Source organism: Homo sapiens, chromosome 18 (genome assembly GCF_000001405.40).
Source record: "Homo sapiens chromosome 18, GRCh38.p14 Primary Assembly".
Lineage (NCBI taxonomy): Eukaryota > Metazoa > Chordata > Mammalia > Primates > Hominidae > Homo > Homo sapiens.
Genome location: NC_000018.10, coordinates 39,196,160 through 39,220,841, shown reverse-complemented (window position 1 = coordinate 39,220,841; position 24,682 = coordinate 39,196,160). Strand labels below are relative to the sequence as shown.

Below are 24,682 nucleotides of genomic sequence, written 5' to 3'. Positions count from 1 at the left end.
ATTTTAAAAACAATATGAGAAGTTTAGTTTGAGGGAAAGAATGACCTGACTATTAGAAAGAAAGGTGAGTTTCCTTATCAGAAACATTCAGGATTAAGTGCAAAAAAGAAAAAGCTATGAGAAATATTTGTTATAGGAGTTTTTCTATAAGGGACATTGAGCAACATTGTTAATAATATATTTACCAGCTTTATTTATAGACAAAAAAGTATAAAATTAACACATGATCTGTGATTATCTTGATTGTCAGATAAAGTCAAGAGTTAAATTTCAAAGTTTCAATCTATACAGACAAATATATAGGGAATATAAACAACTTTAGTTACAAGAAAAACTATTATAGTTATTCAAATTCTCATGCACCTTTTATCCAGTCATCTGGATTCTGCTTTTAATTCAGTATTAGGCCCTCCTAGACCTGGATCCACAGTTTAATGGGGAAGCCTGGGACTCATAGTCCACAAAGTTTTTCAAATTCTGAAAGCTTGAATCCTCTGCTTGTTTCTCTTATCACTCATGGCTGCCTGTCTTAGGAAGTTAGTCAATTTCTCTATTGAAATTAGTAGTTATTTTATAATATGGTAACTATAATTAAGAATTATAAGATAACTCACATATATATCTTCAGGTGAAGACATATATCTCTCTAACCCCAAATGTGTGTCCAATAGTCTTCTCACCTGCCATCTCCTCCTAAATATTTCAAAGACATTTTAAACTCAATATGGTTAAAACTAAATTAGATAAAAATCATATGATTTCTTACCTCTCCAAATTTATGTAATCTTGAAACTAGGAGTAACTCTGACACTAAAGAGGTATGTTTGATACCCATATCATTAAATATTCTTTTATCCCCCTTATTTCTCTTCATACACCTACCACTTTTGTCCAGATCTTTTTTTTTTTTTTTTGGTCTAAGACTTTTATATTAGCCACTTTACTGTTCTACCTGTGTTTTTCTCTTTTCCACCTTGACTTCTCCATATACTAGACAATCGTATTTTCAAAAGGAAAATTTGTATCATATTCTCTTTATGTTTAAAATCACTCTAATCTCATTGTTTTTAAACTCTATGTGGCATCTTGCAACTTGGCCTTCAAGGCCTGGTATGACGGTATCAACTTTAGGAGTTCCTCTTCAGCTTTATTGAACAGTTGAATCTATCCCACTTTTTCTGTTTCGGAGTCTGTAGTCTTCTCCTGCTCCTTTAAAGCTCCATGCCTAAACCTCCCTTGTATCTCAATGTTGGCACATCTTATACCACCAACATGAAATGTTTTTCTCTGTCATCAGTCATTATCTTCATAACTGTTCAATTGCCATTTCTTCGGAAAAGTGTCTCTAACTTTCCTGATTGCGATCAGACAAATACTCCTACAACTCATGAAATCAAGCACTTCAACTTTAGAGTATTATCAATGTTACAGTTTTACATCGGTTTGTGTGGTTGACAACATTTGTCTATTTTACTGGCATAAACATTCTATAAGATCAAGGACTCTGTTTGCTTTTGTTCATCATTGTATTCCCACTACCTCAGACTGTACTTGGCATATATTAAGCATTTTGTGAAGACTTGTTACTTGGATAATTGTATTAATCAGTGAATTAAAAGGTACATCATAGCCCAGATAAACACAAGTATCGTATCTTTTTGCCCTTACTAGAAATATGGTGAGAGGTCAGTCAATATGCATGATATTAATATAAAAAGTAATTAATTGTTGAGGTTCTTTTTCAGTAAACTTCAAAGGAATGCATTATTCCAATGAGGATCTTCTGGATGGCCAAAGTTGATATGCAATTAAGGGGGTCAGACTATTTTCAAGTTATGCTATAAAAACTTAGAGTGAGGGAGCAATAGAAGAAAGAAATACAGCAGGCCAGAGCCAGTTGGCAGTAATGAGGAAAAGAGTGATTGCCAACAACTGCACTTTTCAGGGAGACAAAAATGTGATCAAAACCATTAAAACCTCAGGGATCAAGTCAGTGTACTTGCCAGCCAGCAATCAAATCTTCATCCAATGTACCAGAAAAACCACTGGCAAGATACCAGGGCCAATTTGTATTTGGTTATGAAGTGTCTTCATTGTCATCAACCTTAGGAGTGTAATGTTTCACCTGCCAATAGTCCTAAAAAAGTTGTTCAACAGAACATCCAAACAAAAGCCCCTGCCATCAGTCCTGAGACAGATAATGCAAACACAGATTAGAAACTCCAGAACACATATATCACTGAACTCTCTTGAGTCCCAGTTTTGTGTTAGGCACTGAACTATTTTCTGGGGTGTGTTTGTTTGTTGGGAGGAGGGGGCAGTTGAAGGAGGGGGAATTAAAGTCCTTGTCTTTAAAGAGCTTTTTTAATCTTAGCATTAAACAGTCTCGGCTTCCTTCTGCAATCTGAAGTTGACTAAGAAACTTATAAAGGGTTTACTGTGCCCCATGCATTGTTGTAAGTGTTTCATGTAAATTACTTAAGTTAACCGTCATGACAAATCCATATGATAGATATTACTGTCTCCTTTGAGAAAATTAGGAAACAGAGGCATTGGGAGGTTACAAAATTTGTGTGAGGTAGGAATTGAACACAATCTGTGTTACTGCAAAACCTGTGTGTCAGTCACTGCAGGATTTAGCCTCCAACCTCTTTGCCAACTCCAAATATAAGCTATACTGTATATTTGGTGGAAACCTTGGGGAACATAATCTAAAAATAGTGGTTCTGACATATCATGTGATGCCTTACATTTATGTATTAATTCAATGGTATGCACAGAGAAAAAAAGCAAACTAAATATTTGAGTCTCATAAGATTTATCTCTGTTGATTTTCATAAACACAAGTAAAACAGATGCAAACACCTTAGCTATCTATATTATTTTGCTCATGGAGGAATCTTAAGTGAAATTATTCACAATTACCTTAGTTGGCCTTGTTACTTGGCAAGCATGCATGCAATCTCAGTTTGTCTCTGAAGCAGAAATCAAACTACAGTGTAGTTAAAAAGCCATGACTACTTTCTACCAGGTTCATCTCTTTTGGACTATTTTGGTTTGAAAATAAAAGGTGGCATGTGCCTCCTTGTCACCAACACATAGTTATTATGGGAATGGACTAGAAACCAGCTATTATTATGTGGGATATGATAGTACAGCACTGTAGAGCTAGAGAAATAGTAATAACAAAATGACCCCATTTTAAATGATTCAGGAGATTCACCAAGAGAAGTTTGGGCACCCTATAAAATCATTATATTGTTATTTCTGGGTAAGAGTGTTAGGTACCTGAAGTCTTCGTTAGCTCACTGCCACTAGCCCCTGAATAAGAGATCTCTAGTGAAGAAATAGAAGAGACTAGAAAAGCCATACTTACTGAATTATCATCATCGTCATCATCATCATCCTGCTTGATATAATTTTTTTATCTTTTGTTAAACAAGGATCTCGTGACTCAGTGAAGTGAGCTATAAGTTGTATATTAACTATGGGACCTGAGTGTCCATTTGCTATAATCTTCACACCCAGGGGAGTCTTTTAACTTCTTTGGTTGTCTTCATCAATGGTATTCATCACCTCATAAGCCTTACATGCTTACTTAAATAGTTTGAATGATGAGTGATAGTGAGTCAACAATAACTTTACTTAGTGGCTTCAGGAGTGAATTTAAAAAAACATTATTATCTCTCTCCACTCACTTTAGCTACCCCATTTTTTTAATGGCACATAGCCCACAGTGCATTTTTCTTTGAGAAGCAGAATACCCATGATTTATAATGATATCTGTATAAGGAAGATTTAAGTCAGCATGTGTCCTCTGCAGTGTTGCATTTCATACATTATTTTTCAGTTTTGATTTTTGTTTTATTTTTTGGCAGACGATTAAAGGAACATCAGACATCTGTAAGACAATAGATATTGTGTGTTGGGGGGGATGGGGTAGTGAAAGGGCTTCCAGTGTCCCTGAAATCACACAGCAGAGAGACCCACTTATCTGCCAATGACTGACTAGCTGGCACTGTAGAGGGGGGACAGGCAGAGACAGATAAAGTGGCTCTCACTCGAAGCACTTGTACCTAAGCCTCCAAATGGCACCCACAACATCCTTTCCATGCAGCAGGCTCCCTTGACATTAGAGAAAATATCACCGATACCAGCTTGCCATATGGGCATCTACAGGCAGGGCATCTGCTGTGTGCTGTGGCGGCACTTGGTGGAGACAAGAAAGGTTTAACATTTTTCATTAGTGTATGCCATAGACAGTTGAACTCCATTATAATGTCTGCAGGAAGAATCTGATCCATTCCATTATCACAGTGACAAAGAGAAAGGATGGCTTATGACTCCAGAAAGGTCAGAGAGAACTAGTATTCAGCTGTAAGCACTCAAGGTATGATGATAATAATGGGAGAAAGGCTTTAAAAGATGAAGTTTACAGTCAGATAAAAATTAACATTTAAAAAGAAAGCCTGATCTATGAGATATCCCTATTCCTCTCTATTTCTTTCTCCTAGAAATTGCTGGTTGTTGGTGTATTTATATAAAAATATGTTCTTTGTCCTTCAAAAATCCATATCTGCTCTCTGATTCTTTCCACACTGAAGTATTAGAAGGAGATGCCTGTTGCTATGGGAGTGATTTCGATGTCACGAATGGAAGATAATTGTTTCATTGTGTGATTAAACAAAGGAAGGAAATGAATTGGGAAGGGAAAGCAGGTGGCTTATCTGTGTTTCTGGCTATAGGTAGCTAATTATTAATCTTTTGACAATCCTGGGAATAACATTAATCATAAGAAACCTCCTGGGGTACAGAAGTGAATGGGGTGTGATATGTACTTGAACCAGAATTCACATTTTACAGTGACATGTCTAAAATAGTGACTAAAAATTACTTACTTGTTTCAGAACATTACCTGCATGACTAACAATAAATTCGGACAACTGGTTGCTCCCTCCTGAAAACGTCTCTGATTAATAAAAACTTCTGTGATATATGTTTACCGTCACTCATCCACTTCTTTTTTTTTTTGACAAAAAGGGGTAAAAGGGTAATCTGAATTCATAACGTACTTCCCCCGTCACTACATGGGCTGAAGGAATAAGTGTCAGAATTACTTAGACAAATTTTTCCCCCTCTCTTCACTTGATGCCCTCACCCTAATCTCAGGATACCTCTTTTCACCTTTTTAACTTAATAGTCAGGAGATAACTATGTGAAGTGAATCTAGTGTTAGGTGTTTGAGACTGCAGCTTTAAGATGGCTCAATCAAGTCTATGTACACTGCAGCTTCCACCTAATCAAAGTAAACAAAAACATGTTAGCACTGTTTGTTGCAATCAAATTAAGTCTTAAAATGAAGATCTCACTCTAAATATCATCCTCATTATTTCATCCTAAATTGAACTTTCAGTATCAACCCTGATGTTACCAGCCTTTCTGGCCAGTAGCCACTTTATCTGAGATCAACATGACCAAGGGTGCTATGCTGAACCTGATAGGCATACAACTCTGTATCCCTTTGACTTTTGTCCCCTGTACTCAATAAATCTTTGATCTTACAATCTTCCTCCTCCACTCCTATAATCAGATGTCCATCCAGATAATATGATGCTCTTACTGCTAAGATAACTGCTCAATCCAAAAATATTAGTCCTTATTGCTCTAGAGCAATATTTAATACTATGGACCAATATCTTCTTTTCCATTTTTTTCTCCCTATATTTTCATTCTCTCCTTTTACCTTTCTAGACATCTCTTGATGTATTTTCTCACCATTCGTTTATTCTAACCATACTCAAAATGTATGTAGGACTTTAAGTTCTTCTTTTTTCTTCTGCTCTTCTCTCTACATATTTTGCAAAGAAAATGGCATTTATATGTTGCCCATCCATGGTTCCATCTACCATGTATTTCCTCAAACCATGTGGACCCTCAAATCAAAATATCAAGCTCAGACAACTTGGCTATACTCTGACTTCATATTAGCCATCACTACCTGAATATCACATAGGCAGCTCTTGTGCAATTCAACTCCAATATAAGTTCATTAATTGAATAAGATCTTGACTTTCTCCATGTACAAAGCTGTCTTACCTTAGGAATCCCATGTTTCAGTGCATGGCCAACTTATGTAATGATTTCCAAAGTCCAGTTAATTTCATATTCTGCAGGGAAAAAAAGGAAGCAAAAAAAAAGCAGACCATAACAAAAGCAGACAGCAAGAGGGCCAATTAAAAAATATATTAGTAATTACATTAAATATAAGTGGTCTAAAGTAATGGCAGAGATTGTAATATAGAATAAACAATGTAAATTAAAGTTAATGGTACCTAGTTGAAAGATACTTTAAGTAAAAGGATCTAAATAGCTTAAAAGTAAAAGGATAGAAATACACATCTCATGATAAGAGTAACCAAAGGGAATTGAAGAGGCATGGTTAATATTTTATATTTTATTTTTGAATAACATTTATATTTTATAAATATTTTATAACACATTTTCATTGGTGTTTATTTAATATTTTAAAATTTGTCTCTTCTTTCCTTTACATATGCTCTCCTGGTGCCAAGCTATTACTAACAAAGAAAAGACTGCTTCTGTAATACAACAATAAATTTATTGAACTAAAAGTTGAGACTGACATCTGGGCACATTGGGCTCCTCATGCCTCTGAATAAACAGACAAACAAATGAGTTACTATACCAGCAGAGGTAATTGATCCTGATTGTCAGAGGAAAATTGAGTTGCTATCTGTCACAAAATAAGGGTAAGGTACAGTATGTCCAGAATATAGAAGATTCTTCAGAGCATCTTTCGGTACTGTCATTTCCTGTAATTAAAAGCAATGTGTTGCGGGAAGTCAGGGACCCCAAACGGAGGGACCAGCTGAAGCCATGGCAGAAGAACGTGGATTGTGAAGATTTCATGGACATTTATTAATTCCCCATATTAATACTTTTATAATTTCCTATGCCTGTCTTTACTGCATCTCTAAACATAAATTGTGAGGATTTCATGGACACTTATCACTTCCCCAATCAATACCCTTGTGATTTCCTATGCCTGTCTTTACTTTAATCTCTTAATCCTGTCAGCTGAGGAAGATGTATGTCGCCTCAGGACCATGTGATAATTGCGTTAACTGCACAAATTGTAGAGCATGTGTGTTTGAACAGTATGAAATCTGGGCACCTTGAAAAAAGAGCAGGATAACAGCAATTGTTCAGGGAATAAGAGAGATAATCTTAAACTCTGACCGCTGGTGAGCCAGGCAGAACAGAGCCATATTTCTCTTCTTTCAAAAGCAAATGGGAGAAATATCTCTGAATTCTTTTTCTCAGCAAGGAACATCCCTGGGAAAGAGAATACGCGCCTGGGGGTGGGCCTATAGATGGCCCCCTTGGGTGTGGGCATCTTTTATGGTCTGTAGACTGTAGGGGTGAAATAAACCCCAGTCTCCCATAGCACTCCCAGGCTTACTAGGAAGAAGAAATTCCCACCTAATAAATTTTGATCAGACTGGTTGCTCTCAAAACCCTGTCTCCTGATAAGATGTTATCAATGACAATGGTGCCCGAAACTTCATTAGCAATTTTAATTTCACCCTGGTCCTGTGGTCCTGTGATCTTGCCCTGCCTCCATTTGCCTTGTGATATTCTGTTACCTTGTGAAGTACGTGATCTCTGTGACCCACACCTATTCATACACTCCCTCCCCTTTTGAAAGTCCCTAATAAAAACTTGCTGGTTTTGCAGCTTGTGGGGCATCACGGAGCCTACTGACATGTGATGTCTCCCCTGGACGCCCAGCTTTAAAATTTCTCTCTTTTGTACTCTGTCCCTTTATTTCTCAAACTGGCCAATGCTTAAGGAAAATAGAAAAGAACCTACGTGACTATTGGGGCAGGTTCCCTGATAGCAACGGAAAACTACAGCAACACAGTTTAAGCAGAATGTATAATGGCCCAAATCTTTCAGCACTAAAGATTTGGGTAGCCCCATCAGGCAAAGAACAAGGTACAACCATATGACCTGCTGCAGAAATAAAGGCAGTAATGATAATGAACATTTCTACTTTAATTTGTTATAAATATGTGGCAGATACATTTGATCTTTGAACAAGACAGGTGTGAGCTGCACAGGTTCATTTCTATGCAGATTTTCTTCTCCCTTTGCCACCCCTGAGATAGCAAGACCAATTCTTTCTCTTTCTTCCCCTCCTAAGCCTACTCGACATGAAGATAATGAGGATGAAGACTTTTATTATTCAGTTAACAAATACTAAATATATTTTCTCTTCTTTATGACTTTATTGATAATATTTTCTTTCCTCAAGCTTACTTTTTTTTCCTGAAACAGGGTCTCATTCTGTTGCCCAGGCTGTAGTACAGAGATGCAATCACAGCTCACTTTAGCCTCAACCTTCCTGGGTTCAGGTGATCTTCTCACCTCAGCCTCCCAAGTAGCTGGGACTACAGGTGTGCACCACCACACAAGGCTAGTTTTTGTATTTTTTGTAGAGACAGAGTTTTGTCATGTTGCCCAGCTGGTCTTGAACTCCTGAGCTCAAGTGATTCCACCAGTCTGGGCCTCTCTAAGTGCTGGAATTACAGGTGTGAGCCATCGCGGCCAGCCCAGTCATACATATAACACACAAAATATGTGTTAATTGACTGTTTATGTTATTATCAAGGCTTCCAGTCAACAGTAGGTTATTAGTGGTTAAGTTTTGGGGTAGTCAAAAGTTGCACACAGATTTTCAACTTTGTGAGGGGTTAATGTGCCAAAGCTCCAAATTGTTCAGGTATCATCTGTATTTCCTCTCATATTCTCACTATCATCTAACACAAAGTGTATTAATAGCAGGTAACTTTATATCACAATATTTAAGTTACAGGATATTAAGAAGACTAGGGAAAATCACTCAAAGACTTTCCATTCTTTTTTTTTCAGAGTTAGTGGTTTTTGGTGTGCCGAGTGTAGTACTATAATTACAGGTGGAAAAAATGACTTTGTTATTATGATTATTTGTAGATTAAGCATGTCTTGAGGAGCTGTATGTGAGTGCCCAGTTGACAAGAAGTGAACTGTGATGGCCAGTTCTATGTATCAACTTGGCTAGGTTATAGTACTCAGCTATTTACACATTAAACTTGGTGTTGCTCTGAAAGTAGTTTGTAGGTATGATTAACATCTACAGTTGACTTTAAAAGAGATTATCATAGATAATCTGGGTGGGACTGATTCCATTGATTGGAAGGCCTTTGAGCAGAAGTAAAAAAAAAAAAAAAAAAGAAGAAGTTCTTCTTGTGAAATGAAGCTTCAGCTTGTGCTTCGTATTTTCCAGCTGGTCCTTCCTGATGCCCTGTCCTCTGGATTTTGACCTACCTAGCCAGCTCTCACAATGGCATAATCCAATTCTTTGCAATAAATCTCTTAAAATCCTCCTGGTTTTATTTCTCTGGGTAAACACTGACTGATACAGATGTGTACTAAAATTTTAGTGATGCTTTTTCTCTGGATGATTAAACTATCAGTATTTTTCTACTTCTTGCCCATTTTAAATAAAATTGGGGAAATAATTATTTCTTTAAAAAATGCTACCCTCTAAGTTTCTTTTGAAATTGTCTACCCAAATATTCTGTACATTTTTTTTTAACCTTTGAATTGGGTCCATGCTATTATTGCTCTTTTCACTGTGCATTGCAATTTTTTGAGTCCATTTTTCTCTCCTACTATTTTGCTTGCTCTGGTGCAAAGGTAAATCTAACACAAATACATGTGAATCAGATACTCTTTTATTAAAGTGAGGTTTTACTAATAAAATTATGATACATGGTCACCCTTCTGATACCTGAGCTCTTGTCTGCAATTGGTCATAACTTCTTATACACATCTTGCTGCCAGAGACATCAGCCCATTTCTTGAGCACAGTTTCTGTTTTTGGGGTCTTAGTGTAGAGTCTTGCATGAGATCTTATCTGATCTATTTTCTACATGACACTTTTAGGAGAAAAGCATTGAGAGATAAAAGGTGAGAGTGGGATGGGACAAACAGAGTTCAATTTTCTTATCAACCTGCTACACCCCAGTTAGTCCCAATCCAAATATTCCATCTCTCATCTGGAGTTGCTGTGTGTCAGATGTTTGATATTGAAATACCAATTATATGACCCAAGAAAATGAAGCATCTGTGGTTAAGGACAACAATTAAAGGAGGTGTTGTGAATAGTCAGCCTAACTATTATAGTGTGAAATGGAGAAAGAACAAAATCACAACACATTGATGTGAGGGGTTGTTGGCTGCATATCTCTAAGTGTAGCACTTGCCTACTCATAACCAACTTAAAAAATTGTTGCTTGTAGTATTTTGCTAAGCTAGTTTGAAATACTTAACATTCACCTACACAGGTGTGAGTGTATGCACTCATACACTCATCCACACCCACCCACCCACCCACATATATATACATATATATACATACACATATATGTCACATGTCATTTTCCAACATAAATTACTGAATATGAAGTTCTATTCATAAATTACTGAATTTGAAGTACTATCCTTCTCTTAGCTAGGTAAAAAGATCTTCCTTTTAGCCTAAGAATATTCAGGAAAAATTAAGAATAGATATAAACCTAAGTGGTTATTTAACATTAGAATTATCTGGGGAACTTTGAAAAAAATAGCTTTGCCAGAGCTGCACTTCTAAAGGTATAGCCCAGAAATGAGCATAGGCCTTTCAGATTATAAACTCGATTTCCTGTTCCTTTAATTTCTGGTGAAATTTAGGATAGCTCTGATTCCTTCATCTCTAAGTTAAGATGCTGGATTATGTTAAATACAGAAAAGAAATAGTTTTCATAAAGGTTAACTGTATGTTTTGGAGCTCCAAATAAAACAGAACAAAACCACAGAGCACGAGGAAAAAAAAAATACAGAATCTTTTCACTGATTTTAATGGGACAAAATACCTGGAAAGAAAGATTTGACAGCCTGTGTCTTAGGCAATGCACCAAAAATGAGTTCATCACTTTTTCAATAAAATCAAGGTTATTAAGATAGAAAAATTATTAATAGAGATGAAGAAGATGTAGAAATTATGGACATTTATGAACTGGGGGGTAAGGACATTTATGAACTGGAGGGTAAGGACATTTGAAGCACTTGGACTTAGGTAAAGAAAAAAAGAAGGAGACATACTATTGTTAAAGTTCTGTAGACTGCCCATGCAGATAGAGAAAATGGATGTTGCATGTTTTATAATCATCTCACATTTGTGATATAAAGTATGATTAGAGAGCATTAGTTTCTGCTTTCCTTTTTCAGCTAGTAATTGAATGTCAGACAACTGCTTATATTTTCTGTCATGATTTCATACTCTAGGAGGTAGAAGATAAATATTAGAAAATTCCCAGTGGGCCATACTAAATCCTATCATTTATGCTGCTTCTCTTCCAAACACCAAGGCTAATACTGACATGAGACATGACATATCCAAGCCCTTTTAGAATCATTATATGGTTTTCCATCATGCTTCCCCGACTGACTGTTCATCTAAACGTGATGATGTTTTCCTGTCCTAAACACCAGTCTTTCTCATTCAAATACCTTAATTCCCTTTCTTACCTCCATGAGTAAGACTTCTGGTAACAGAGTTTTGCACTAGAAGCCAGCGCCAAACACTACACCTCTCCACCAATTTGGCAGCGTGCATTTTTAGCATCCTCTAGAACTGTAGTTCTGCTATGATCATAATCTCCTGACTTGTAGTCGTAGCAATAAAGCTGAGCCTGATGGCTGGATCCCATTTCCTGTTGACATATCATCCCTAATCATGATTGTCTGCCTGCTTGTATTTGTCCATTTCCCCATATAAGTGTTCCTTTGACTTTGGGGTAACATCTCTTGCTCAATATGTGACTTCCCTTTTACTTTCCATCTTCAGCCTAGTAGTTATTTAATCTAGGTGGTGAAATGTGCTGTGATGGTCTCTGTTTGTACCTTAAAAACTCATCAGTCTTTTTTTCCTATCCATGTCTCCTAGGGGTACAAGCAATTTTCCAGTCTTGACCCTTTATCTGTTGACCAAGCTAAGGCAGAAACCAGCTAAATTCTGGATTTAATCTTGAGCAGCAAAAAAGATCAGCTTTTGAAGTGGATCTGCTTTTATTCTTGGCAAAAGTTCAGCGGAGACCAACCAGAGTGGTGACAAAGTTCTTCAACATCAAGCCAAATGTAATACAAGGAATTACGGATAGTGCTTAATCTAAAATAAAGAAATTCCACATCTCCCTAAAAAGTTATTGGCTTCAAGAATGAAAACAAAAGAAGCATATTTGTCTCAATCCAAACACAGACACCAGAAAGACAAACCAGGAGTATACAGCAAAGTAGCTTGCAGGATAATACATTGAAAAATGTAATTGTGCATAAATCATGCACAAAGTAGAAACCACAAATTCTGTATTTGGCAAGGCTTCGGTTCCTTTGCATAATTCTTTCATTTTCATCTTGCTGCTTCCATTCTCTTTTCATCAAAAAAAGCTACATAAAACAAAGACATAAACTGTATGCAATTAAAATGAGAAAATAGCTGAAAGGAATGTATTGATAATTATGTTAAAATCTATACCATAAGTATTCTTGCATTGTTAAGCATCTAATTTTTCATGTGTTGACATCAGCATCTCAGTTCTCTCTAACATCTGAAAGCTTTTTTTTTTAAGGCAACTTCTTTTAGAGTGAACAAACTTATGTACCACCGAGTTGACAAAAGTATAACTATATCCTACAGAAAGAGACCTCAAGTAAACCTCCAGCAGCCATCTGGACTTCCATGAAAACAGAACAATCAGTGAGATGCAGAGCTTGGAGGAGACAGTTTCCATAGACTGAAGCACGTGCTGAAGCAAAGTTCACACTTGCAGGATTAGAAGAGGTTGACCGAAAGAAGGAAGGACATGGACAGCTATGTTGTTGTGGAGTCCTGTTTTATAGTCATAACCTTGAGTCAAGTGAGTTTGTCTGGACAGACAGAGCTTGTTGCCTTTACTTATAGGGAAGGCACCGGACACAGACAGCCTCAAGGACATTTGTTCTAGCCTTTCAGTATCCTTTCTCTTAATTATCTCACCTCATCCATGAAGCTGGTATGTACGATTTTTCCTTTCTTTCTCAATCCTTTAAAAAATTAAAGCTCTAAATCTCATTTCCACTTAGATTTTAATGTTGCATTGTAACTTAAGATAAAACCTTGCTCTGATGTTAAAAATACTAAAGTAAGAAGCAATATGGCATAGTGCTTATGAGCAGGACTACATAGTTCTTTCTGAATACAAATCTCAGATAAAACACTATCTCAGTGATCAACCAGGTTAAGCAACCTTTTTAGTGCCTCAATTATTCCATTTGTAAAATTGTAATAATGATAGTACTAACCTATAAGATTGTGGTGAGGATTAAGTCAGATAATACAAAAGAAGCATTTAGAGTATTTCCTGGCATTATCTACCATTTATTGAATTTTTATGGTTAAGAAGAATAAGGAAAAGCAGAAGAAAAGGAAAAGAGAAAAAATACATAAGAAGAAGGAAGAGTGGTAAGCTCTAGTAAATTACAACAAACGGTAACGTAGAAAACATTTGTTAGCCCTTAATATAGGCCAGGCACTGTGTTCAATGCTTAAACCTCATTACTGTTCTTTGAAGTGGATAACATTATTCCTTCCATTTTAAAGAAAGGAATACTAAAGACAACTTTGTCAATATTATTCATGTAATAAATGACAGAATTTGACCAAGACAATAGAGAATGAACTCTTAATCACTATATTGTTTTATTTTTTGAAAATAGATTTTAAGTTCTTATTAAATGTTAATGACTCACATCAAAATAAAGCCAATCAAAATTGACAGCAATTTATTTGTATTTTCTGTTTTTTTTCCCCTCCCTCTAGTGGGATATAGTGGGAAAACATTCGAATAAGTAATTAAGATACTTGTGTTTGGGCTGGGCTCAGTGGCTCAAACCTGTAATCCCAGCACTTTGGGAGGCTGAGGTGGGTGGAACACCTGAGGTCAGGAATTCAAGACCAGCCTGGCCAACATGGTGAAACCTCGTCACTACTAAAAATACAAAAATTAGCCAGGCATGGTGGCATGTGCCTGTAATCCCAGCTATTCTGGAGGCTGAGGCAGGAGACTCGCTTGAATGCAGGAGGCAGAAGTTGCAGTGAGCTGAGATTGCGCAACTGCACTTCAGTCTGGGCAACAGAGTGAGACTCCATCTCAAAAATAAATAAATAAATAAAATTAAAAAAGAGACTTGTGTTTGTTGCTAATTTGTTAAGAGATCTGTGTGTGACATGTGAAAGTGGATTGAAAACATGTAGAACACCAAACACATGAAAGACATAACAAAATATTTTGCAGGGACTGTTGGGGAATTTGGTACACTAATGGTATCCAATCTTATTTACATTGCACAAACCTGCTGCCTGAATCTTACATGGCATAGACTTGAAAAGATAAAGCAGAGATGGAAAATCTTATATTCCAAACATTTCAGATACTATGTTCGTTCAAAGTATATGCTCTCTGCTTCTCTCCCATTAACTAGTTTTTGGCTGCTTGCATTCTTCTGTGTTTCTCAGTCAGGTGAAGCTTCCTGTTGTCTTTGCACCCAGCTATATTGTCACATTTTCTCCTGGATTAGCAACATCCAGAAGAGTACAGGCACCTAAGGAGACAAAAAATCTACTCCAAAGAGGCCCTGAGTATAATTATTGTTAAAGTTCATTACGGTGGCAATGGAGAGAAGTAGAGCATTCATAATTTGGTTAAGAAGGAACTTGAACATCAAAGCCGACTACTATGGTGCAGAGCAGTGTCAGAGCAACGTGGTTTGCTCTGCTCTGGAGTGGCTTGTGCACCAATCAACACACCCTTGTGTAAGCAACGCATATAGCATATCCAGGGCAGAAAGCAGCAATTAGATCAAGGTTTGGCCCCACAGGGAGCTGAGTCACAGAGTCAGAATTGAATCAGAATTGGTGAAACTAGGAAGTAGACACAGTTTTTACAACTCATCATCTCCCCGTTTTTGTTTCTCTACTTACTTTTCCCCACGTTCCTGAAACTAATGTCTCACATTGACCTCACAATCCACAGTCCTCCACTGAGTCTGGTTTCACAACCTTAGACCAGTAGCTCATTTGGCCTTTGTTGTTTAATTTGCTTTGTGTCATGTACTGTCCTTAAAGGCAGCAGGGCCCTCCCCCAATCAGAAGAGGTGGCCTTCACCTCTTATGCTCCTGAAATTGCTATTTATTAAGCACTGGAAAATATGTATATTTATGGTGTTAGGATTTATTAGTGATATTTTACAAATAAGAAAACTGAGGTTCTCATTAACAAAGTGACTGGCCCTACATTACATAATCAGTAAAGTCAAAATTCAAAATCACACCTAACCAAATGCAAAATATAAGCATTTTTTTCTAACATCGTCTTTGTTTGCTGTAAATAGGCTGTGTAGACACAATAGTGCCCTCTTTCCCCAAACATTTTATGAAAAGTGCAAAGTTCACTATTCTGTAGGTGTAGATTAGTTTCTGGAATTCGGCGTTAGTATAAGAAAAAAAGGAAAAAGAGAAAAGAAAAGAAAAAAAAAAAAAGGAAGGAACCAGCATGGAAAACAACCTATTCTCATATTTTAAGTAACAGGCTTTGATGTTTCCGATTATTTTTGTTTTGTTTTGTTTTGTTTTGTTTTGTTTTGTTTTGTTTTGTTTTGAAAGTCATAACCTCTTCACTGAGACATACTATTTATTTGCAGTGACGCAAGCCAGCAAATCTCTGTTCTATACATCCTAAAAGCATGAGTTAATTTGGCAAAAGACTCATGCAAGTGTTCTGCCCTTTCCTGCTCCTGGTGTTTTATTTCTGCTGTCATGTTCCTGCTTTTCCCCCAAATTTTCTAAAATGCTGTTTCAAACCCCTCCTATGACTCTGCAAATAAGTATCATTTAAAACCTCTAACTGATTAATCAATTCATTTTTTATATCAGGAATGGGTTTGGGACAAAAATGTTTCCATCAAAAGAAGTTGCTTGCTTCTGCCTTTTCCCTTCTTGAAGGTGTGTGTGGTGATGGTGTATTCTGGAGCCTTGAGATGGCATTGAAACTGATAGAGGGTCACACAAGACTTGGGTACAGAGTACAGTGGAGGTAAGTACCTTGCTTTATTGTGTCAGCATTGCAAACAAAGAAGGGAATTATCTTATGTTCTACCAAACTTGACCTTCTTGAGGAAGTAACTTTTAGAGGAAATAAAGAACTTTAGAAGTTTTGTAGCATTTTTTATTGAAAAAAATTCCATTTTAATACTGAAAAAATTCCTCTGCAATCAAATGGAAGATTCTTTAAAGGATGTTTATGCTAGGGGTTTTATTGTGCTAGCAAAATAGTTTCTCTTTTATGGCTTATCGCAGCAGAACAAGGAAAACCCTTCCTAGCAAAATGCTTCCACATGCCAAATGACAGAGTCTAAGGAGCTTTCAGGAAACCAAGAAATCTGATCGCTCCTGGGGGTGTTTTAATACTTTAAATACAGAAATCATTTAAGCTTTGCTTTCTCACTACTGATGCTCTACTAGAATGAGAGCTCAAAGTGTATTTTGATGGTCATTATTTTTCTCAGCCCATATTAGCACTCAAAGAATTTTTGCTAATAAGCACTATCTCAATAAATATTTATAAACACTTCTTTTGTACAAAGCTCTTAGCAGGATATTAGGAGAATACATAAATGTAAGCACATTTGCCTTTTAGAATGGCAAAGATCAACAAGGTATAAATAATACTGTTTTTAAAATGGAAGCAATAAGGAGAGTGTCCAGAAATTGGCCCAGGGAAGACACGCTATGAGAGTGCAACCCAGGGTGTGCACACATAGCCCATCTCCCAAATGGGAACCTCATAGCAGAGAAACCTGATGCATTTGGAATCATGAGCATTTGGAATAGTCTCATTTGGACCATGCAACATAAGAGAATGGCTGCAGGGACCTTTTTTTTTTGTTAAACATTATGTCCATGCTCCCTATTCTAAGAGATGAAGTGGTTTGCCCAAGCTCCCAAGCAGGATTAGAGATCATGTCTTCTGACTCTGAGGGCCATGCTTTTTGTGGGTCTTCCATTTTTCCTCTTGTTCACATTGCCAGCAATATGTAAGGAAGATTTTGGCTGATCCTCAGCGTGGAGAATAGCACAAGTCTAAGCTTCAAAGTCAGTGAACTTGAGTTGGATTTTAGCTCTGAATTGGAACCACTGTGGTAACGTGCAAGTTGAAAGGAAATGAGAGCACTCCTCTTACCAGGGACTAGATAGAGAGCACAATGAAACATGTAGAACAATCCTTGGCATAGACTTACTATTCATATCTATTTTTTATTGTTGTTATGTGAGCTAAACCATACTTACCTGTTTTAATGGGATGCTTTTGTTTAGGTATATAGGGGTGGGAGACTACCTTTTGTCTCAAAAGTATCAGTTCTCTCAGGGCTCAAGAAAAGAGTAAACATAAAGTGTTTAAAGGATATTGAGATTGTTTATTAATAATTATAATAATAATACATTATTATTTATACAATATATACTTGAGAAATACCTACTTTGTGTCATGTATTGGGGCAATAGGAGAGAATAAGATAACAAGGTCTTTATACTAACTGCTAAAAAGTGATGCTAGAATTAATAAATGAGTATGATAAGAGAAACCCCTGGACTCTGTAAATACATAAAAGGGGAAGCTATCCCAGATATGGAGTAAAGTGGGGCAATTGGAAATGTTTTTCTGGAAAAGAATCTTTAATCTGAAACCTGAAGTAGCCAAAGCAGAGGAGATGGAAAGGCAGAGAATGCTCCAGTCAGTAGAAACTCTAGGCATAAATGCTCAGAGGACAAAGAGGGGCACGAACATGAAGAGGAAGAAGATGCTCTGTGGCCTGCACACAGATCAGGCGCTACCATTCTGCCCGCGGAATCTCTATTCTAGGTGTTTCCATGCCAAAATCAAAGTCTGACTTCAGTAGAAGAGGTCAGAAGCCAAGACTCGACTATCTCCGTGCCACTTGCTCTTAAACACATACATTGTATTTTAGTTCAGTGATGTACAGTTCCACTTGCTGCCCCCTCAAGCTGAATGGAGCCAAAGGTTTGTGTCTGGAAACCCCTGGAGGGGGTCTCTATTTATTACTCTCAGCTTCCACTACTTGCACCAGTCGTTCTGCTAAAGGTTAGCTTTCGTATTTGACCTTTTGCCTCCCATCCAAAACCATGTGGCTTGACTTTACTTTTTAATGTGTTTCCCAGAAGAGAAAGTGGTTATCTTTACCAACTGTCATTCAAACATGAGGAACAAGGGTACTTTTAAACAACAGGATACAATGTGATTGCAGTGGTACAACATGTACCAGCCAGAGATATGATCCCCTCACTGATGACTAGCAATGTTGGTCTCACACCCAATCTCCAGAATGCCTCCATCAAAGGGAAATCAGAAAATGTCTTGATGAGGAAAGAACCAGCTCCAGTCAGGATTATCTTCTGCACAACTAAGGACTGTCCCTCAAAATGTTTCCTTTTTCACCTGAGCAGTCCAACACCGGGAAGCAAAAGAGGAAAAGATGGAGAAGATTATTTCTGCTGGCCTCCAGGAAGCAGGGTGAGTTGTAATCTTCCTTTGTTAGCATCACAGAGAAGTAGAGGTAGATACAAGTGGTTGAGATAATGTGTGTCATATCAGAATACACCATCGAAGGAATTACTACATCATGCTTCTCTATCTCCTGTTCAATGGGTAGGACCCTGACCCTACACTGAACCCATGTCATTGATTCTTTGGTAGAATGGAGTCTACTTTGATGGTTACAGAGTTTTATCAGTGGAGGCAAAGAGTGGGGAGGTCAACTACCCTAGCATTCAAAAGGGCTAGCCATAAAGTCTATGCATAAGGGTGTGTATGAGAATGTATGTGTGAAATGTTTGATATAAACCTTATGAATAACAATAGGAATCTTTAGAAAAATCCTGCATATGCAAAAATTGCATAGCCTATGTCTGTGTTGATCAGCATCATGACCAAGAGATTAAATGGTACTCTTGGTACAATACATCTTAACTCTATCACAGTGAAGATGCATTATGTGTGCCCCAACTCAAGCAGCAGAACACATGCGGGGTATTTCCCTGTGACATCCATATCCAGATTAGGATAATGTACATAGGAGGAAAGAAAGAAAACAAATAACAATCATTGTACTAGTACGAAAAAACAGCAACAAAAACAACAAAGAAGGCCCTGAAGTCAACGACACAAAAACCAAATCAAAATCTACCTAACTCGCCAACTCTGTTTTCTTTATCTGTGTGATTAATTTTCTCCATGTGCATTGTGTGGTTAGCTTTATCCACAGTAGCTACATTCATGTTTAAAATAATGGCAGTATTTAAGGACAAAAAAATACACACTGATTATCGCATTCCCCTTCATAAAGGTTACTTACTGAGTGGAGCGGCACGTAGACCTGTAGACCCATTTTATGTGGCAAACCTTAATTATTCTACTCCCTCACAAGATACCACTCGTACTTAAAGCATATTATTTTAGAATAAAGGTTTCACTTTGCCTAAGCATTAAGACTTAAAAGAAACATTTAACTTTGACATTTCATTTATAGGCATTTTAATTATCTGGATGGTTTCCTTTAAATGCTAGATGTAGGCAGAGAAATTTTGTACTTATATAGAAGAAAGTGCTTCCAGGACTCCCTAATTTTCATGTGTTATGAATTTTAATGCCTTATGTGGGTCAGGTTTTCATAGCCATGAAGAGGGAATACATTGACCTTAAAACTATTGTACAGTTGTAACAGTATTTTTAGTCTGTGTTTGTTATGGGCAGACAGGAAATATATTTTGTTTATGTTTTCTTTTTCAAAAGTTCTTGCAGCAGAAGTAAGAGAGCCCCAGGCATCTAAGAAAGGTCTCGCATTTTTGCTATTTTCTTTCTTTCTTTATTTATTTATTTGATGATGAGGTAGCAACGAGACAGACTGGATCTGCATGGCTTAAAATCAATGGAGTACTGCCTAGCAAGTAAGGGTGGCTAGGCTGGCAGTGGCCCCTCCCTGAAGAAAGGACTCTGGTGCAATGCACATAAAATTGGTTATCTGTGACCTTCACTTTTCCAGTCTCTGACCCCACCCCTCCAAGATAGTTTCTCTCAGGTGTCCAGAGTCCCTGTTGCTCCTCGACACTCAGGATTTTTACTTGGCTGCCCTACCCAAGCCTTTCCTCCAAGGGTGACAATCCTGGCTACGCGTTTCTTGTGTCTTCTCCTACCTTATCAAAACTTAACCATCCTCTCTACTGTTATCTTTCTAAAGTCTTGACCAGTGATATAGCCGATAGAATTAGAATAAGCTGATTAGGCATATATACTATCTCAACTCCTGTGTCAGTTATTGCAGATACGGACAAGTGAATTTATGGATGGATGAAAAGAAAGATGCCGGAATATTGTTTCATTTGTCATTATTTCCAGACAATACATGCCCTTCAAGTTTGGGTACCTGGAGGCACAACAGTTCAGCTATAGCAAGTGATTCACCAATGGTGTATTTTCCAGCTTGTAGCAAGGATATATAGGGCATCATCTGTGCAGGTAATCAAATGTTCTTAAAATAATAGCCTGGCCTGGCTACAGTCATGTTGACAAAGTGACAATTTTGGTTATTAAGACAATGGAAGCCAAATTTGTGATTGTGCACAACTAGCTTAAAAAATGGGCAATCAGGAATTTTTAGTATGAAAATAAAAATATTTTCCTTTCTTTACTCCCAGAATGCATATATCCTGTACCATACAATTTAGTTCATGGTAAACACCTGAGATTTATTATTCTCCAACAATTTGGGCATGTAAATATTGTCTCTTCCACGTGATCTCTTAAATTGCATCTTTTGTATCCCCAAAGTATCCAGGACAGGGCTGAGCATGTGACAAACCATTAATAAATACTCACTATAAATACTGTTGGACTCCCCTTGTGTTTCAAAGTCCCTGTGTGTCATGTAGGCCACTGCCAACAAGCCTACCATGGCCCTGCAACCGCACATTTGCATCATCCCAGGGAATCCATCTAAATGAAGTCTTCTGCATCTTAAAATAAAACTGTGCCAGATTCTTTTATGATGAAGTTAAACCACAACCCACAAACTTTAGTAAAATGGAAGATTTTCAAGGTCAGAAAAATCTAGGAAGGCTCTGTACCCCACCTCCTGAACCCCCTCCTTGGACCTGGAATGGCCATCTGTTGCTCTGGCAGATTTACAGTTCACTCACACTGTGAGTGATAGGAGGAGGAAGTGAGCAGAGCTAATCAGAGCTAAGTAGTTAACGAGCAGAGGGCTAACGAGCTGGTGAGTTAACGAGCTAAGCAGAGAGTTAATGAGCTGCTGTTTCCCACTACATGCAAGCAAATATATCTTTCAGGTGATTGTTTACCTTTAGCATTCTTAGCAGATGTCCATAATGACATAGCTATGTCTTTGACGGTTCCCCAAACGTCTCAGTTTAAAGCAAATTCAGCCATACCTTCAGCCTAGTCTTATGCACCTTCCATGCCACCTGTGTGACCTTGAAATAAAGCCACCTTACTTTTTGACTCAGGTTGATGACCATTCCATCATGGGTTTTTTGCATAAATATTATGGTCATTTACATAAAATTAATGACCATTATCTACAGGGCACCTATTCTGTACTAATTAATAGGTATAGTACTAATGAAGTAGGAGAATAACAAAATTTAAAACATTAGTTTCCATCCCTCAAGAACAGGCCGTCTAATTGGGAAGAGACCTGAAGGACAGTTGAACAAATAGAGTACTGGGTATAGGTGATGATTGTTACTAGGAATTCACAGAGATCACAATGTACGGGGGAGCCCAGAGAGGGCCTGAGGGGTCAGGGAAGGCTGTGCTTTATCTGGGCCTTGAGTCCGAGGTCAAGTGATACATTCTAGAGATGATATTCTAGAAGAGAGAAAGGGTAAAATCATGGCCTGAGTCGAAAGTGGCTAATTATTGCAACAATTACCCCAAATGTAATTTTGCATTAATTAACTGTGAAGTGCTCCTACTGCCACCTGTGTCTGAGTCAGCTTGGCAGAACTGCTAGCAGAGGGGAGCTCACCCGAGGCTGTGGGAGAGCAGGCCAGGTTAGATGAGGGCTCAATGACTCACCCTGCTATGAGTGTGGAAAAACATGTACAGTATGGATTAGTGCATTTTAACTTTCTACTGTGATTGAAATGGCGATTCAAGGTCTTCCTCAGTTATGTGCTTGGCAAAGAAGAGCTAGGTGCAATGTTGCTTCTTATCATCTAAGTTGGTGGTTGTCAAATAGGGATAGGGATGATTTTTGCCTCCCAGGATTACATTTGAGAATATCTGGAAACATTTTTGATTGTCACAAATGAGAGTGAAGGCTGTAGCCCCCACAATGAAGACAAATCTGGCCCAGGTACTAATAGTGCCAAGGCTAGGAAACTCCACCTAAATCTACGCTTTGAAAAAGGACCATCTTTTGTTTCTCACATAGGTCTAGTCTCACAATGGTTCCTTTGTCGTTTTTAGACACTTCTTCATTTTGCTTCCTACTTCTTGTATCCTCCAAATTTGTCATCATATCCAATTTTTAACCATTTATTTAATTAATAAATATTTCTGTACTCAAAGGGTGCAAGCCTTGTGTTTGAAGTTATAGAGAGGAAAAACTATAAGTTGGTTGTGCTATTCCTAGAGCTAGAGACATAAAATCTGCACTCTCAAAGATCGAATAGCAAGAGTTAGTTACCAATGCAGATTGGCAATGCAGTTGCACACCATGATATTTATTTATATACTAAATGAATAACAAAATTGCATTTAGATGTAACAGTTCCAGATTTTTGCAAGAGACTCCTAAATAACCTTTTTGTCTTCTGATTTTTCTTCTGCACTCATTCTTCATTAAAGAAAAATTTAATTGAGCCTATTCTAAGGCAATGACTGTTCTCAACACCAAAAATAAAAGTGGTGAACAAGGAAAGCAGATGGGCTCGTAGAGTTGATCTTAAATGTTAGCAGCAAGAAACAAACAAATAAAAAATAAAGAATGTTTTTAAAATAAGTGCTAGGACAATAAACAAAGCAGAGTGAGAGGAAAGAGAAAGAGATTATGAGGTGGAGAGAGAAGACTGTTTTAGAGAGGTGGTTAGGTCAGGTCAGGGAAGCTCTCATTAAGGAGGAGATATTTCAGTAGAGACCTGACTGGGGAGAGACATATAAGCTTAAAATGATCTGAGAGAAAAGAATTCCGGTTGATAAAACCTCAAGGGTGAAGGATTAGACAGGATAACAAACAGGATTGAGGTGTTCCCCAATGGCAAGAAGGCCAGTGTGGGTGGGTAAAGGATAGGAGATGATGACGATCGAAAAGAGTGAGCAAGGTTTGCCATAGAGCAGGGGTCCACAACTCCCTGGGCCACAGACCAGTACCAATTGTCCTGTTAGGAACCGGGCCTCACAGCAAGACGTGACTGACTGCAAGTAAGCCAAGCTTCATCTGTGCTTATAGCCACTCCCCATCACTGGCATTATCAACTGAGCTCCGTCTCCTGTCAGATCATCAGCAGCTTGAGATTCTCACAGGAGGGCAAACCCTACTGTGAACTGTGCATGTGAGGGACCTAGGTTGCAGGCTCCTTATAGAATCTAATGCCTGATGATCAGTCACTGTTTTTCATTACCCCCAGATGGGATTATCTAGTTGCAGGAAAACAAGCTCAGGGATCCTGCTAATTCTATATTCTTGTGAGTTGTATACTTAGTTCATTATATATTACAAGATAATAATAATAGAAATAAAGTGCACAATTAATATAATGCACTTGAATCATCCCTAAACCCCCTCCCCACAACCACTGGTAGAAAAAATTGTCTTCCACGAAATCGGTCCCTGGTGCCAAAAAGATTGAGGACCACTGCCATAGAGGATTTTGTGAGTCAAAGAAAAAAGGTTAGATTCCATTTAAAATGGAATAGCCAGTTATTGAAGGATTTGTGCTAGAAGAGTTTCATTAAAGAATTTACATTTTAGAACACTTATTCCAGTTAATCCATGTTTAAAAATGTGTTAAAATTTAAGCGTTACCAACATGAGAGAGAATGGGGAAGAGCAAGTCTCTTGGCTGGTGAAGTACAAGATGAGATCACAAAGGTTTGTTTTTCTTTTGTTTTTTTGTTTTGTTTTGTTTTGCTTTGTTTTCAGATTTGTTAACTTTGAGAATCTTACAGCACTTTAGACTGCATGCACATGCCATTGGATTCCTCTTCCATTCCATCCTGTTGTCACTTCCCCCCACTGAAAACACATATTTTTTCGATATCATCTCATTCATTATACTTTAAAAAATTACTGTCTCCTCATTTATTGTCAACTGAATAAATTTCAAGTTATTTAGAATGGCATTATGTTACCCTATTGACTAGCTTTAGTCAACCTGACTACCTTTTTTGTGATGCTTTTTTTCATAATTATTTAATAACTCATCAAATCAAATGAATTGTAG

General features: G+C 37.5%; 1 long non-coding RNA gene across 1 annotated transcript in view; it reads left to right on the top strand.

Annotated features, from left to right (window-relative positions):
- The window catches only part of MIR924HG (MIR924 host gene), a 545,072-nt gene extending 531,154 nt beyond the window's left edge, over window positions 1–13,918 (top strand). The window contains exon 4 of the long non-coding RNA NR_024391.1: window positions 12,053–13,918. This is a non-coding gene — a long non-coding RNA (MIR924 host gene). The remainder of the gene's footprint in view (window positions 1–12,052) is intronic.
- Window positions 13,919–24,682: the final 10,764 nt, after the last annotated feature.